This window comes from Homo sapiens, chromosome 4 (assembly GCF_000001405.40).
Source record: "Homo sapiens chromosome 4, GRCh38.p14 Primary Assembly".
NCBI classification, from domain to species: Eukaryota; Metazoa; Chordata; class Mammalia; order Primates; family Hominidae; genus Homo; species Homo sapiens.
In genome coordinates, this window is record NC_000004.12 from 131373790 (window position 1) to 131392233 (window position 18444).

The 18444-nt window shown below is 37.4% G+C and overlaps 1 long non-coding RNA gene across 33 annotated transcripts in view; it reads left to right on the forward strand.

Moving 5' to 3' along the window:
* Positions 1-5967: 5967 nt before the first annotated feature.
* LINC02377 (long intergenic non-protein coding RNA 2377) overlaps positions 5968-18444 on the forward strand; it is a 338568-nt gene continuing 326091 nt past the window's right edge. For all 33 annotated transcript variants that reach the window (NR_183920.1, NR_183918.1, NR_183919.1 and 30 more), the window contains exon 1: positions 5968-6552. This is a non-coding gene — a long non-coding RNA (long intergenic non-protein coding RNA 2377). The remainder of the gene's footprint in view (positions 6553-18444) is intronic.

Sequence of the window (18444 nt, forward strand, 5' to 3'; positions counted from 1 at the left end):
ACTAGCCTAGCCTACCAAAAATGTCCACAACTTTATGAATACTACTTACTCACTGTTCCGCTGTTTGAACTCTTAGGGGTAAACGTATCCAGGTTTGTGGAATTTAGCAACTCTTACCTTTGACACATTGTGAGGTAAGCGTTACACAGAATTCAAATTACTTGCTTTCATTATAGCATGCTAACTATAATGGGGTGACTCAATAGCCCACATATATTGCTTATTAACAACTGGTAATAAAAGAAATCTCAGTAAAATCAGCAGAGTGTTTTTTCATATACAAAGAATATAATAATAGTGGTAATAATAAAGATATATAAACAGACACAATAAAACGAAAAACTAAAACCAAATGTCCCCAGACCTTGGCAAATAAAACCGTAAATACAGGCAGAGTGTAAAGATCCAAAAGGTATTCCAATAAATTAGGCAATGCTGGGCTACCACAACTCATAGACTCAAGTACATAGTGGTTCAACATAATAGAAGAGTAGATCATCTAACAGTCCAGGGTAATTGGTGAGGGGATGAGAGCATATTTTCCACAGTCATTCAGGGACCCATGCTGAGGACCACTGTGCCATCTTCAATTGTAAGGCTAGTCCAGACCACCAGGTGATTATTCTGTTGCCAGAATCAACCAGAGGAGGAAAAGGACAGGCCTAGAAGAAGCATGCATTATTTTTGTTCTCCTTCCATTGACCTGAATTCAGTCATATTATCACAGCTAAATGTAAAGAATTCTAACAAATTTGGCTCAGTTGTCTTCCCAGGGAAAAGAAACAGAGATTTTTATGGTCAATGAGCAGACTCTGCCACAGTAGCACAGATTGTTGGTATGTTGGTGATAGTTTGTACAAAATCTTCCGTAACTCAGAATATGTTCTGCAAAACTCCATATTCTCTAAAATTAGTAGGATGAATACCTATTCCAGGTTGTTTGAGGTAGTACTAAACATGCTTTCCCCAGAAACTATCCAGTTATTATCCCCTTTCCCTTTAAAAAATGCTCAGGTTAATTTTGTGAATTACATGGGCAAACTTACTTATGAGAAAATAATAGAATTAGCACAGCCCACTCAAAATCTCGGCCCTGATAAACAAGAACAGTCATTAAAAAAAAAAAAATGCCAGCACAGTTACATTTCCACTAACATTAGTAGCCAGCATTATAATCAGTCTATCCATTGAAGCCTTAGTCCTTGGGTCTCATGTTTCTCTTTTAGTTAATATTTGGCTTCACGTAATCTGATATACACTCTTTCTGTGTGGTTATTTAATAATTCAAAACTAAAATTAAAAATTTACCCTCAAGCTATGATTATCAAAATACTTTAGCTATACTTACTGCCATCTATACCAAGGATTTATTAAATAGTATAACGGACATTTGTAAATATTTTTCACTTCTAGGATGAGTAATAAGTTAGATGTGAATCAGTAAAAGTATTGGGAAGTCACTTCCATGATTATGCAAAGTAGAGAAAACAAAGGATCCCAGGTAAATAGGTCCTCATGCCTGTAATTCCTATGGGTTATGCGCTGACACTGATTAGAAGGTTCATCAAATTTTGCTGCTAGAGTATTGTTACTTGTGACTCATATCAACCTTCAAGATTTGGGGAAGACACAACACTTGGAATTCATTGAGCCTCTATAATCGTTTTATAATTTTTTTTTTGCCTAAATGACAATAACATTTCCCAGGACAGCAGAATTTATTCTGAGAGTTGTTTTCATTATAACATATCATCTGACAGTAGGGAGACTGATAACGCTTGCACATGTCCTACAACTGAAGAATTACTACAAAAAGACATCTAATGATTGTGGATGACCATACTTACATCAGTTTCCAATAGAAAGTTCATCAGTATCGGGCCAGGCATGGTGGCTCACGCCTGTAATCCCAGCACTTTGGGAGGCAGAGGTGGGTGGATCACCTGAGGACAGAAGTTCAAGACCAGCCTGCTCAACATGGTGAAACCTCGTCTCTAATAAATGTATAAAAATTAGCCAGGCGTGGTGGCAGGCACCTGTAGTCCCAGCTACTCAGGAGGCTGAGGCAGGGGAATGGCGTGAACCCGGGAGGTGGAGCTTGCAGTGAGCCGAGATCAGGCCACTGCACTCCAGCCTGGGCAACAGAGGGAGACTCTGTCTCAAAAAAAAGAGAAAGTTTGTCAGTATCTTGTTTTGACAAAATTTATAGTGTAAGTTTGGCAGTAAGTGGCTGAGCCCATTTGAGAGAAAAAGCATTTTTTTTTAACCTTGATGTTGAACTTCTCAAGGATGCTGTCAGCAAATGGTCAGTCAACAAATAAAGTACGTCAGACACAAAAACCTTTAATGTATGAGTACATACTAGAAAGAGAAAGGTAATTGTGTAAGTGAAAATATAAATATTAAGGTGGTGGAGGTTTTGTTTGTTTTCTCCATGAAAGCTGCGCTTAATTGAAAGAAAAGTAGAAGAAATTTAAAAGATACAAATCCTATCACCTAACCCTATGAATGGTGGAGTATAAGAAAATTAAGAGGTATCATAAAAGAACACCTTTTGAGGCTAGGGCACAAAATGTGTATATTTCAAAGGGATTTTGCTGCAATAAGTGAATATGCTGAGCACAGTGTTGTATCTTGTGGCACACAGTGGTATTTAACGGTGAGTGTGTGGAAAAGAGATGAGATCTGGGTCACAGCCAAGGGAACATAAAGTAATAGTAAGTAAAGTGCAGCACAGCCATGATAGAAAGTAGTATGCATTCAATTGACTATATGCATGATTATAGGTGTTATCTAGGCACTGTGTTTAAAATGATAATTTAAAATGTTTGTTTTAAATTGCAGTACAAGAGGAATATGTAATACTTCAATATATCGTCAAGGTAATTATTGCGTAAAATAATGATAGTAAAATGGATTTATTTAACATATGAATTAAATAAGATAATAGTGAGGCAGTAAAATAGGTTCTGGGGGCAGGGGACATGAGGCCAATTCACACTTCAGCGGTAACAGGAAATATCCTCTCCATAGGGCATACACCGTAAATAACTTTGTAAATTTACTTCATCCTCTCCATTTGCATAGGGTGTACCAGAAGTAACCAATGGAATCCTCTAGGAGGTATTAAAACTCCCAAAAATTCTGTAACGGGACTTTGAACCCATATGTTCAGGCCCACTCGCACATTGTGGAGTGTACTTTCATTTTCAATAAAACTCTTCATTCCTTCCTCACTTTGTTTGTGCGTTTTGTCCAAGTCTTTGTTCAAGACGCCAAGAACCTGGACACCCTTCATTATTAACAATAGTACAAGATGAAAGCTATATTTAACTGATCTTAAAGGAGGTATTCCAATGAATCAAGTTAGGGCAACACTCGAGTCAGAACAAATATCCAGGGTATTCTTTTGGTGAATGATTAATAAGTGTAGTTTGGATGTATTTAAGCTGAAGGATCTTGTTGAGGATGGTGGGTAATGAATTTAGCAAAATAAGTGTGACTTATTTGCCTGACAGTGGTTTTCACAATAAGTTTTGGGCAGAATGTGGAAATGAATTTTTCCTTCAGCAATATCAAAATGGTATATTTCCAGGTATTTATAATCTTCTTTAGGGGCAGGAGTGGAACACTTTTACTCCTGTAGACTCCATGCTCTTCTTCTTTTTTAAATATTTATTTAATTTTAAAAATAATTGACACAATAATTGCACATATTTATCAGGTACAATGTGATATTTCAATGCATGTATATATTATATAATGGTTAAATTAGGGTGATCACCATATCCATCACTTTTAAAATGTATCTTTCTTTGTAATGACAACATTCAAAATCTTTACTAAACCAATTTTATTTTGCTTGTGTAGACACAACGTGAAAATGATACATTATCTCTTTTTATGTGTTTCTGTACTCAACTTGCTAGTATTTTTTTTAGATTTCTAGAATCTATATTTGTGAATGAGATTAACCTGTGATTTTCTTTCCTCATACTGTACCTGGCTTGTTTTGTTATCAAAACATAAAATGTGTTGGTAGTTTTTCCTATTGTTAATCTGCCGGCCAGTGTAATTATTCATATAAGATTAGTGTTTGGATTTATTTGAAACACTATCATAAGTGCCTTAGCCTATTTTTATTTTAGTAAAAACATTTTAATTTACATTTAAGGACATGTTCATGTCACGTTATTTCTTTTGCAGTTTGAGTAGGTAATAAATATTTTCTATGTATGTATAGAGAGACGACATAACAAGTTAAATATATATGTATGATTTACTCCAAAATATCAAGCTTATTAAAAGTTTTTACAAATATTATATCTTATTACTGTTTAGTATCTTCAGACTCTATGTCTATATTCTTTTACAATATCTAATATTGTTTATTAAGCCATATATACACACACACATATGTATGTCAATCATGGTGATTTATTTCCCTATGTGTTTCACAATATGTATGTGTGTGTGTGTATATATGCATATGTGTTTGTCTATATATGTATAAGATGTATAGCTCAGCCAAAACAGTACTTAAAAGGAGCATTTATATTTGAAATTATATTTTTAAATAAAAGCTAATAAAATATATCTACATAGCTATATTAATAAAATATATTAAATAATATATATAAATATATACACACAAATATATCTTTTTTTTAATATTGACAAATATTTGTATAGTTTATTCATCTTTTAGGAACCACTGTTTTAACTTGCTTGCTCTTCTAATATAAAATTATTCTGGCATGATTTTCAGCTCTTTATTTTTATTATTTTCGTTATTGTATTATTTTTGGTTTTATTATACTGTTCTTTCTAACTTCCTGTTAAATATTTGGCTCATTTAGTGTGAGCCACTCTAATTTTCTTTTATATCATTTCAAATATAAGTGCTCCTTTAAATGCTCCTTTAGTACTGTTTTGGCTGAGCTATGTATTTTATACTTATATAGATGAACACACATATATACGCACACACATATATACATACACATATACATATACATACACACATACACATATATACACATGTATATAAACACATATATACATGTGTGTATCCTTAACAGGCCAAGATATTTCTATTCTATACACTAAGATTTCTAAAGTAATCGGTTGCTTAAAATGTGTTTTCGATGTATGTTTATGTTCATATACTTTTCAAGCTATATGTAATTGATTCTAATTTAATTGTACTGTGATAAAAATGGCATATATAGCACTGTTCCTTTTATTTATTTTTTGAGGCTAGATCATGTTCACTTTTCGTAAGTCATCAAAATGTTTTTGAAAATGCCATCTATTTCCCAATGTCATGATGCAATGTACCATATATTTTTATTAAATCAAACTTACTCGCTTTTTATCATTCAGGTCATCTAGATACTTTTGAGAGGTGACAACGTGCTAGCAGCCCTTGCTCGCTCTCTGCTCCTCCTCGGCCTCGGCGTCCGCTCTGGCCGCGCTGGAGGAGCCCTTCAGCCCGCCGCTGCGCTGTGGGGGCCTCTCTCTGGGGCTGGCAGAGGCCGCAGCCACCGGCTATCTCTGCTGGCGGGGAGGTGTGGAGGAGGAGGCGCGGGCGGGAGCCGAGGCTGCGCCGGTGGCGCTCCCGCCGGCGCGGGTTCCTGGTGGGCGCAGGCTCAGCGGGCCCCCTACTCTGCGCGGCCAGCCAGCGCCTGCTCAGGGGAGGAGCTCACTCTGGGCTGCTGGAGTGCCCTGGGCTAGGTGCCGCGAAGTCCAGCAGGGAGTGCCATTGAGAGGTGAAGCCGGCTGGGTCCGGTGGTGACTTGCAGAACTTTTCTGTCTAGCTAAAGGATTGTAAACGCAGCACTCTGTGTCTAGCTAGAGGTTTGTAAACACACCAATCAGCACTCTGTCAAAACGCACCAATCAGCTCTCTGTAAAATGGACCAGTCAGCTCTCCGTAACATGGACAATCAGCAGGATGTGGGTGGGGCCAGATAAGGGAAGCAGGCCTCCGAAGCCAGCAGTGGCAACCCACTTGGGTCCCTTTCAATGCTGTGGAAGCGTTGTTCTTTCACTCTTCTCAATAAATCTTGCTGCTGCTCACTCTTTGGGTCTGCCCCGCTGTTATGAGCTGTAACACTCACAGCCAGTGTCTGCAGTTTCACTCCTGAAGCCAGCAAGACCACAAACCCACAGGGCGGGACAAACAACTCCGGACAGGAGGAATGAACAACTCTGGACGCGCCACTTCTATGAACTTTTATGAACTGTAACACTCACCGCAAAGGTCTGCAGCTTCACCCCTGAGGCCAGGGAGACCACGAACCCACCGGAAGGAATGAACAACTCCAGACGCACTGCCTTTAAGAGCTGTAACACTTACCACGGATGTCTGCAGCTTCACTCCTGAAGTCAGCGAGACCACAAACCCAACAGAAGGAAGAAACTCCCGACACATCTGAACATCTGAAGGAACAAACTCTGGACACACCATCTTTAAGAACTGTAACACTCACCGTGAGGGTCAACCGCTTCATTCTTGAAGTCAGCCAGACCAAGAACCCACCAATTCCGGTACGTAAAAAAAGCTTGTGCCAGACTGTAAATTAAACCACTGCCTCTTTCATGGAGAATGTCTTAAAATTAACCAAAAGAAAAAAATTGTAACAGATAAAAGTGTGCTTAGTGAGAGAGAGAGTTCGTTTACATTGTAGCCGAAGCTCCAGAACTTGTTGCAGATTTATAAAGGTTTGGAGAAAGCATTGGGCGTGGTCCACTCAGTACAGATCATACTTTGAGGATTACTTGGGCAAGTTAGATTTTGCTAACAAACATCCCCAACCTGATGTCTACAACAAGGACATGAAGTAATTTAGGGAATAGTAGCATCCATTTCGTGTCATCCTCACTCAGGGATCCAACTTTGGAAGATTTCACTATGGGAAACAATGAGATGGGAAAAATAGAAAGTAGTGAGTCATGCATTGGGCCATGAAGGCTTTTCTTCAGCAGGGACTCTGCTCTTTTCATGGACTTGCAGTAAATAACACCAACGTGTTTAACTTCAAGGAAGCAGGAGAGAGAAGTATAGATATTTAGTGACTAACATGAATTACCTTCATGAATGTCATGTTTTTGTAATAGCCAATGGCTATGTATTTTTTATCTTTCCATTATTGAAGAATATTAAAATCTCCCAATGTTAGTACAGTTCTCTATCCAAAACTGTGGGTTTTGAATGTATACATTTTTCGGACCCTGTATTTGGTGCATCCAAACATAGAATCTGGATAGTTATAAGTGCATACTATGTAGTAAACCTATTTAATTCAAGCATAAATTTTGCTTTAAAATAATGCGTATTGACATGACAACTCCAGAATTATTATGGTTATTATTTGTCTGCTACATATTTTATATTGTTCTCATATTGTTCCATAAGACTTTGAATTTTGCTGAGGTTTCACATTTTAAGTGTAAAAGTAAATTTAGATGGATTCATTTATTAATAAATAAATGGATTGGATTAATACATCCATTGGATTATTAATAAATCCATTGGATTAATAAATAAATAGATGGATTCAATTTAGATGGATTCATTTATTAATAAAATGTAATGTCACAAGACTTTCTTTTAGTTTGTGTAGTTAGTACTTTTTCATTTTTACTAATTTCCCGTTTTTAATTTATTTCTGATATCTTATTTTACAACTTGTATATTTTAAACATCTTTACATTTGCATTCCCCTTATCTTTTAAAATATTTTTCCGATTTTAATTCCTTCTCTTACTTGAAACATTAACAATTTCAATATTAATTAACCAACGTCTTACACTCCTCTTGGCCAGATATCAGAATAATTTAGATAACCTACTAAACATTACAAGTTTTCCTAGTCTAGTACTTTAGTTTAAACTTTGTCCTATTAGATATATTATTATGTTAGGCAGTTATTGTTTATTTAGATTTACCAATGTCATTACTCTTTGTTAAAGCACAGCTTTTCTATTTGAAATCTTTTCCCTCTTCACCCAGAAACTACTTCAGAAAATGTTCTCTTTTAAATGGGTCTTGCGTATGTATCTGTGTAGTAGGCTTTTACACTTTGTGTAAAAGATGTCTTTCATTCACATTATGTTTTTTTGTAGGTATTTTCATACTTTTTTTATTTTCTACGTGTTTACTATTTAAGACTATATTTAAACTTCTTAACTCATTTCTTTTCCTGAACCTGATAATTATTGTTTTCCAACAGTTGTAGAGAATTATCAGAGAATTATCATCAGTTGTCTCCTCAAACAATGCCTCTCATTTTCTAATAATTTCTAATAATTTTATTATATATATGTGTGTGTGTGTGTGTGTGTGTGTGTGTGCGCGCGCCTCATCTTTTTTTACCTGTGTCTCCTATGTCATGTTTTAAATATTTCATCTAGGTTTTTTTTTCCATAAACATTATGCGTGAATTTTTCAGTTCTAATTTCTAGTTTGCTTATTTTTTATTAAAATATGCTTAATTCCTTAATCAGATCTTCATTGTTATTTGTTTTTGTAATTTATAAATCATACTTTTCTATTTTGGAAGTTTTTTTTTAATATTCATTTTACAAGTCTGATACCTGAAATATCTATGTTATGCTTTTGCCATTTCTTGTTTCTGCTGCTTCTCAATCATGGTGACTTATTTCCCTATGTGTTTCACAATTTCTGTTTTCTATCTGCTTACATCATTTAACCTGAGTTTTTCCGTATAAGTTTTGCTTAATGTCTGCAAGTTTTTTGTGGTTGCTATCAAATTGGATAAATTTTTAACTGTGTTTCTCACTTAAGATTTTTGATAATACTCAGACACCAAGAAATTGGATTGAAAGTTTGCATTTGGGAAAGATTATGATAACCAGTTCTTAGAGACAACTCTTTTTTTCTACTCAGTTTCCTTGCAGAGTGATGTTTATTTCTTGTTCCAAGTTATGATGCAGTCCAGCTCTTTGTGGAACCATCTGTGTGCTGCTATATTGTTTTGGATTCCTTAATGCAAAGCCATCCTGGCCTTATTACTTTCTCTATATTTCATGAGTTCCTTGATAGGAAAACTCCAAGTGTCCAGCATTTTACAGCGACCCTTAGGATAAGGTTCATTGAAGGCGTTATTCATAACCTCTGAGTTTCTCATTTTATTTTAAAGCTCAGCATATTCATCATTTTCAAGGAAGCTTGTATTTGTGTTTTAAAATACGTTTTAGTCAGCACATTAATTATTTTTGCTGACGGAGTCATTCAGCTCATTTCATTTTTGTTTGCTATTAAATCCATGTCTGTGAATATCTACTGTTACACCAATGAGGTCATAAGATATTTGAAGGAATGGGTAGATCTTACATATCCTTTTACCTGTAAACAACATTAGATTTAGCTTTTCTCTCCAACCAATACCAATCCAATTCCTGTTACTCCCTCTCCCCAAATAACAATGTAACTACTTGTAGTTTTAAACAAGAGCCATGTTTTCCTTCATTATCTTGCATGTGTTTCTGTCAACATGTCCATTGTTTTATCTAGAATACTATTCTTCCTTTGTTAAATATAAAAATATACACATATATTTATATGTGTGTATATGTATATTTATATATTTACTGGATTCTTTGTGCCTAGTACTATCTAATTTATGAGATTACTATACAAATCTTAAACACATACAAAAAGACTTTGCCTTTCATTCTTCTAAGACTATGTTGAAAGAGATGGACATTTGGAAACAATCACACCGGTACCAAGAAGAGTATTAAAAAAGGAAAATGATTTTATATTGTGGGATGTAAGAAACTGTTGCAACAATCAATTTGTTGTTTCCCAGATCGAGATCAACCCTTCTATGTCCTGACTTTAATACAAGAGAAGGACCTTGTAAATATTTCTTCTTTGCCAACTGGTGCAACGTTAGGTCTTGGAAATGGAGAGCACCAGAAGAACACTGAACGAGGAAGGAACTTCTCTTTGTGGTTGTGATCATTTATTTTATGCTCCCATGGCAAAGTTGGCAGCAGCAGAGTATTCAAGTCAGGCTCCAGATTCCATGGAAGTTTTCTGTAGGAGACTTAAGGGCACCCAAATTGAAGAAAGTTTTAGCAGTGGCCTTGGAAGAGGATTCCCAGTGTGTTTCATCAGTGCGCAGCAGGCAGATTCTCTGAGAGATTTTCCATCACCCAGCAGGTGCCTTTCTAGGGAGGCTCATTGTCAACTTACTCAGTGGTTTCCTAGAGTTTTCCTTGTACCTGAGTGGGAAGTTTTCTACTTCTCTGTTTCAATCTATGACATCTCAGTAAACATCTTTGATATCTAGTAGGCCACACCATACCTTGTTTAATAAAGTTTGAATCTCATTTTTTTAAGTTTGTCTCTTTAGCATTTGTCCTTGATCCTAGAGGTTATAGATTATTCCTTACACTTGTTATGTCTGTATTCTTTAGCTTTGTCTATGCAGTTTTAGTAGTTAATTAGGTATAGCTAGTTAATAATTCTTCATATTAGATGCTTCTTATTCCATTTGCTGATACAATTTCTATCTCCTTGATGAAACTGCCCAATACAAAAAGGCACATGACAGCAGAGAGCTCTATTATGCTCTGGATATGAAGCATAAATTAGAAAGATTACTCAATTGATCTTGTAGGATTTTGATTTTGGAGTAACAACATCCTACTTATCCTTATACCTGAAATTAATAAAATATGAGGATATAGAAATATATATGTATATATATATGAAGTAATATATTTCAGCATATTAGGCATCGATCAATGGAAAACAGCAATCCTTGAAACACTGGGAACAAATCACACTCTACCTTAATCCCAGGTCACTTCAAAGCTATAGCACATGGAAGGGAAAACAAAGTGGAGCTTATTAGCTGCCCTGAGTTCACGTGATAACTCTGAGAACTCAGAGAAAGCCAAGTGGGTAGAATATGCAGGGCAAAGTATCAAAGAGAAGAGAGGTGCACAGAGAAAAAAACTGAAAAATAGTTCTCCCCCTCTTTTCTCCTCTTTCTCCTCCTTCTCATCCTCCTTCATCTTTTCGTCATCCTCATCTTCTTCTTTTACTTTGTCCTTTTCTTCTTCAAAAGAAGATACAATCGTCCCAGTATCATTTGCTGAAAAGATTATCCACACATTACTGAGTTGCCTTTGTACATTTGCAAAAAATGATATGTGAACACAAATGTGGATCTATTTCTGAACTCTGTATTCATCCTACTTGATCTATCTTATGGCCAGCACCACAAGCTCTCAGTCACTGCAGCTTTATAACAAGTCTGTCTAAAGCTTTCTTCTTTCTCAAAGTTACTTTGGCTAATGAATGTCCTTTCCATTCCATGTGAATTTTATAATCAGCCATTTGTCAGGGCATAAGGTGTTAATTGGTCAATTAGGGCAATGAGCCAAATGGAAAGTAACAAAACTTTATTCACTTACTACAATAGTACAGGAAAGAAAGAGACAAAGAGAAAAAAAGGATTGTTTCTTTTTTTTCTTTTTAATTTTTATTTTACATTTGGGGGTACATGTGAAGGTGTGTTGCATATATAAACATGTGTCATGGGAGTTTGTTGTGCTTATTATTACATCACACAGGTATTAAGCTCAGTACCCAATAGTTATCTTTTCAGCTTCTCTCCCGTCACCCGCTAGTGTCAAGTAGACCCCAGTGTCTGTTGAATCTTTCTTTGTATTCATAAGTTCCTATTATTTAGGTCTCATTTATAAATGAGAACATTCAATATTTGGATTTCTGTTTCTGTGTGAGTTTGCTAAGGATAATAATCTCCAGCTTCATCCATGTTTCTACAAAAGACAAGATCTTATTCTTTTTTATGGCTGCATAATATTCCATGGTGTGTATGTACCACATTTTCTTTATCCAGTGTGGGCAGTTAAGTCGATTCCATGTCTTTGCTATTGTGAATATTGCTGCAATTAACATGCGTGTGCGTGTGTCTTTATGGTAAAATGTTTTATATTCTTCTCGTTATATACCCAGTAATGGGATTGCTGAGTTAAATGGTAATTCTGCTTTTATCTCTTTGAGGATTTGCCATACTGCTTTCCACAATGGTTGAATTAATTTACACTCCCACCAACAGTATGTAAGGGTTCCCTTTTCTCTGCAACCTTGCCAGCATCTGTTGTTTCTTGGCTTTTTAATAATTGCCATGCTGACCGGTGTGAGATGATATATCTCATTGTGGTTTTGATTTGCATTTCTCTAATGATCAGTGATGCTGAGCTTTTTTTCATGTTTTTTTGCCACATACATGTCTTCTTTTAGGAAGTGTCTGTTCATGTGTTTTGTCCACTTTTTAATGGGGTTGTTTTTCTCTTGTAAATTTGTTTATGTTCCTTACAGATGCTGGGTATTAGACCTTTGTCAGATGCATAGTTTGCAAAAATTTTCTCCCATCCTGTAGGTTTTCTGCTTACTCTGTTGATAGTTTCTTTTGCTGTGCAAAAACTCTCAAGTTTAATTAGATCCCATTTGTCAAATTTGCTTTTGTTGATTGCTTTTTTTATCTTTGCCAAATCTTTGCCTGTTCCTAGGTCCTGGATGGGATTGCCTATGCTGTCTTCTGGGGTTTTTATAGTTTTGTGATTTATATTTAAGTCTTTAATCCATCTCGAGTTAATTTTTACTTATGGTGTAAGGAAGGAGTCTAGCTTCAATTTTCTGCATATGGCTAGCCAATTATCCCAGCACCATTTATTGAATATGGAGTCTTTTCCCCATTGTTGTTTTTGTCAGCTTTGTCAAAGATCAGATGGTAGTAGATGTATGGCCTTATTTCTGGGCTCTCTATTATGTTCCATTGGTCTATGTGCCTGTTTTTTTTTTATATATTTTTTTAACAGTACCATGCTGTTGATTGTTTCCCTAATGCTTCATTTTTCCCAATAGAATGACACTGGACAAGGTTCTGTCAGATGACATGAAGCCCAGGAGCGGGGAATAGAATCATCTCCCTGCTGAAAAGCCCTACATACAAGGCTCCTTCTGCATTATGAATCCAGGAATAGGACAGGTGAGGGAGAGGAAGAAGGGCTAGGAGTGGAAAAGTACTGACTAAGATTGGAGGAAAAAAGTATCTTAGTCAAGTCTACAATCACCCCTCAACAAGACCTTCTTTGAGGTTCTTGAAAAGCCTTCAGCCAAAGATTCACAACAAGGAGACCTCCAACAGGAATCTCCTAGGCTAAGAATGCAGAAATACATATGAGCATGGCTGTACTGGTGGATGCCTTAGTGCTTGACTGTAACTCTCTCCAGAAAAGTAAAATGCACTGGCTGTGCACCAAGTCTGATGAGGAGGGCAACTTTCCCTATGAGGCCTACCAGTAAAGTCTTTGAAATTGCCTAATTGCAAAGGTCAGGCCTAAAGTATCACACATAGGATTCTGCCCCAGAACCAGACTCTTCAACTCTGCCACTTGATTCTTCAGAGCCTGAGCCTGAAGCATAGGCTACCTCATAGGAATCAAAACAGTTCAATTTAAGGGACTATAATTACACTAGTTAATTTTTCTCAGACAACAGTTAATGACCAGAATGATGACTAAACTTTAAGTAGGGTAATCAGACATGCCATGGAAGAGTGAATATAGCCATAAGTTCCAGTCATTATTAAGTCAGAAAAAGATGTCCCAAAGCCCAATAGAATCTATTCTAGAGATCCAAGAGACCAATTGATATGCTTCGGTTCTGTGTCCCCACCCAAATCTCATCTTGAATTATATTCCTATAACTCTCGTGTTATGGGAGGGACCTGGTGGAAGATAATTGAATCATGGAGGCAGTTCCCCCATACTGTTGTCATCGTAGTGAATCTCACAAGGTCTGATGGTTTTATCAAGGGTTTCTGCTTTTGCATCATCCTATTCTCTTTTTGCCTGCTGCCATCCATGTAAAACAGGGCTTGCAGCAATTCCCTAAAAAAGGCACTTCTCATTTGCTACTTATATTTGACCATGCTGCCACCCCCTTTTCAATGTTGTACCTTTTTTTAATATAATTATTGATATGTAATTCTCCATGCGTGACCCTATCACGGCCTTTCATTCTCAGCCATGTGGAACTGTAAGTTCATGTGGAACTGTAAGTCCATGTGGAACTGTAAGTCCAATTAAACTTCTTTCTTTTGTAAATTGCCCAGTCTCAGGTATGTCTTTATCAGCAGCATGAAAATGGACCAATACACCAATCTTCTTATGTTTTTATATGATTATTTTTAAAATCTGGCCTGAGACATTAATCAGTCATAGCACAGCTCTGGCCAGTAAGTTAAAGCTGCCCTAAATGCTTTCTAGGATTGACGCTGTGTCATGATGGTCAGGGTATAAACATAAAGTACAATCCCAGCGGGCATACATGGTGCCACTGTAAATAAATAGTTTACACTGTTAGGGCATCCTGATCAGGATATACATTATTTAGTCAGTCAGGTTAACAGCACCCCCATGATGTTCTTTCACCATGGGGTTTTTTGTCCACTCAGAAGAATTTAATTTAGTCCTTGCTTTCAAAAGGACTAACTGAGACAGTCAGTTGTGAACAGTTTTATTTGTTCATGACATTAGTTTATCAACCTCAGGAGTGTGAATGACATCTGGAGGTGTTCTCCGTGGAAAATCCAAGAGCTGAGGTCACCCCCTGCTGTCTCATAATCAGCATTATCAGGTGTGATCCTAGTCGCAGCAGTCACTTTGAACTTGATGTGTTCACAGCAGTTTAGAAAGGTAGTGCAGGGAGGTGGTGATGGTGGTGTGTGTGTGTGTGTGTGTGTGTGTGTGTGTTTATGTGTGTCTTTCCCCAGAATGAACAGAAAACTGTCAGAAGCTGATCTGGAAAATAAAGATCATTAATGTCTTGGCCTGACCCTACCTTCACCCCACCACACACATCTCCCCAGGTGTCAGCTGGGGCTTTGTTTGTTTGTTTGCCCACTGCCACTTTGTTGCTTCATTCAATAATCAAAATTTCTTACTTTCTTAATTTTCTGCTATTCTCACCAGACTTTTTATTCAAAAGAGTTACAAGCAAGATGTAAAATAAAAGCAGTTTAACATAAGTAGTTTTTATACAATATATCCAGAAAGACACAATATGTTTAAGAATTGATTGGGACAAAATTCTGAAAAATTTAAAATGGGTTTGCATAACCTCTTTCAGTCCTTCCTGTTTAAAGCCATTCTGGTCTGCTATCAATTTGAGCCTTCATAAAAGGGTAGAAGAGAATGAAAGGCCATGATAGGGTCACGCATGGAGAATTACATATCAATAATTATAAAAGAAAGGTATAACATTGAAAAGGGGGTGGCAGCATGGTCAAATATAAGTAGCAAATGAGAAGTGCCTTTTTTAGGGAATTGCTGCAATGAGACCCTACATTGCTTCCCCATGATGTACAGTCTAGGCTGGTTTTCTTGTTTCCTCCCAGTCATCAATTAAGTCTATCATTTAATTATGAATTGAAAGGTTAACCACCCCTGCATGTTGGGATTGTTGTGGAACATGGAGATTCTATCATAGGATCCATGAGCTCAGTGATATGCAGCTTTGGCTGCAAATATGGGGCTATTAACAGATGCATTGTGCTGAGGGAACATAAACAGAAAACAAATGTGGACTTGCCAGGACTGGATAGTGTGGCTTGAGTTAATGGAAAACATCGGAATCCAAAAAAAGTGTTGATTCAGTGGAACCCTGTAGATGGGATGGGAAGCCTGGTGTGATCTATTTGCCAAGAAGTCCCTTCCTCACTGGCTCAAGAGATATATCCCTTTGACCAGGATGTGGCAGGTAGGGCAGTTTTGTTTTGGTGGTGTTGATATGGTTTGGATACTTGTCCCTTCCAAACTACATGTTAATATATGATTTCCAATGTTGGAGGTGAGGCCTGGTAGGAGGTGTTTGGGTCATGAAAGAGGATTTCTCCTGAATGCCTTGGTACACTCCCCACCATAATGAGTTCACATGAGATCTGATTTTGTAAAAAAAGCCTGGCATCTACACTCCTCTTGCTGTCTCTCACACCATGTGACACACCTGCTTCCCCTTCACCTTCTGCCATGATTGTAAGCTTTCTGTGGCCCTCACCAGAAACAGATGTTGGCACCATGCTTCCTGAATGCCCTGCAGAACCGTGAGCCATTAAAACATTTTGGTTTCTAAGAAACAGAAAACAAACAAAACACCCCACAATTTTTCTTTATAAATTGCCCAATCTCTGGCATTCTTTCTTAGTAGTGCAAATAGACTAAACAGATTGTCTTCTGATAGAGTAGCAGTTTGTGTCTCTAGGTTCAAGGTAGGATGGTGTCTGAATTTCCATGGGCTGTTCTCTTACAGATCCAGAAGGCTATCAATTCTACATGTGCTTGTTCTGGGAGAATAATTCAGTCTCATGTTCAGCTGATGAGGTTGGGTTTGCTACCATTTATCAGCATAGGTTTTGTTTGTTTGTTTGTTTGTTTGTTTTTGACAGTCTTGCTCTGTCTCCCAGGCTATAGTGCAGTGGTACTATCTCTGCTCACTGCAACTTCTGCCTCCTGAGTTCAAGCTATTCTCCTGCCTCAGCCTCCTGAGTAGTTGGGAGTACAGGCATCTGCCACCGCGCCTGGTTTATTTTTGTATTTTTAGTAGAGATGCGATTTCACCATCTTGGCCAGGCGGTTCTTAAACTCTTCACCTCGTGATTCACCTGACTCAGCCTCCCAAAGTGGTGGGATTACAGGCTTGAGCCACCGCGCCTGGCCTAGCATAGGGTTCTTTTTTTTTTTTTTTTTTTTTTGAGACAAAGTCTCGTTCTGTCGCCCAGGCTGGAGGGCAGTGCCGTGATCTCGGCTCACTGCAAGCTCCGCCTCCCAGGTTCATGCCATTCTCCTGCCTCAGTCTCCCGAGTAGCTGAGACTACAGGCGCCCTCCACCACGCCCGGCTAAGTGTTTTTTTTTTTTTTTTGTATTTTCAGTAGAGACGGGGTTTCACCATGTTAGCCAGGATGGTCTCAATCTCCTGACCTCGTGATCCGCCCTCCTTGGCCTCCCAAAGTGGTGGGATTACAGGCATGAGCCACCACGCCTGGCCTAGCATAGGGTTCTTTGTAGTGATCATCCACATAAGTAACAATGAGTTTATAAGTAGCAGATCTGATTTTTGCACAAATGTCTTGTTTCCACAGGGAACTTTATTTTATATCCTAGTCTAAGGCTTGCCAGTGGCCTGATCAAATACTCAGGCCATGGTGTGACAAAAACCAAGAGTCAAATGAAATATGCTATATTAGTATGTTTAAGAGTTGGTCATGACAAATGGGCCTGGACCATTGATGTGGCCTGAATAGCCATTCCTAACACATGATGCTCTGCCCATTGTTTATGGGAGACAACAACCCTAGACGCTGATAATCAGGTCTATGTTTTATTTTGAACAGCGTGTATTTATTTTAATGCTTCTTTGCATGTCTGCTAATTTCAATTGAATGCTATATATTGTGATTTTTGCCTTTCAGGATGCTGTATACATTTATATTTGTATTAATGTCTTTTAGCTTTGTTCTATCATACAGATAAGTTATTGGGAAATAATTTCATTTTTTAAGGACTTACTTTGAAGATTTGTAAGATGAGACAACAGCAGCATTTTGTCTACGGGTAATTATCACGTACTACTGAGGCAAAACTCTTTGACTATTATCACCAATCCCTTTGAATCATCAGGTTTTGTGTATTACCTGGAGAAAGCTGTCAGTCTCCTGGCCTGTGTAATCTCTTGGTACTGTTTTCACTAATTCTTATTGGGACTGTGTAATCCCTTGGTGCTGTTTTCACTAATTCTTATTGGTGATTTGTTGCCTAACTTCTGGTAGTTTCTTCACATACATTCTTGACAACTCCTGACTACCTTAGGAGGATCTAGGTCCATCTATTTAGGACAAATGGCTCATAAAACTAAATATAAATTGAAAATTTATACAACATCTAAGAGGAAACTCAAGAAAAAATCTTAAAGACATTTGCTTAAGTAAACATTGTTTTATTTCATTTAAGATGAAATGAAACCACCAAAAATATACATAAAAGAAAAATTTTGATAAGTTCTACTTCATTAACATGAGAATCTTCTTCTTTTTAAATATACAAGTAATAGAATTAAAAAAGCAAGCTACGGGCCGGGTGTGGTGGCTCACGCCTGTAATCTCAGCACTTTGGGAGGCTGAGGCAGGTGGATCACTTGAGGTCAGGAAATCGAGACCATCCTTGCCAACATGGTGAAACCCCATCCCTACTAAAAATACAAACATTAGCTGGGCATGGTGGTGTGCATCTGTAGTCCCAGCTACTTGGGAGGCTGAGACAGGAGAGAATTGCTTGAACGTGGGAGGCGGAGGCTGCAGTGAGCCAAGATCACACCA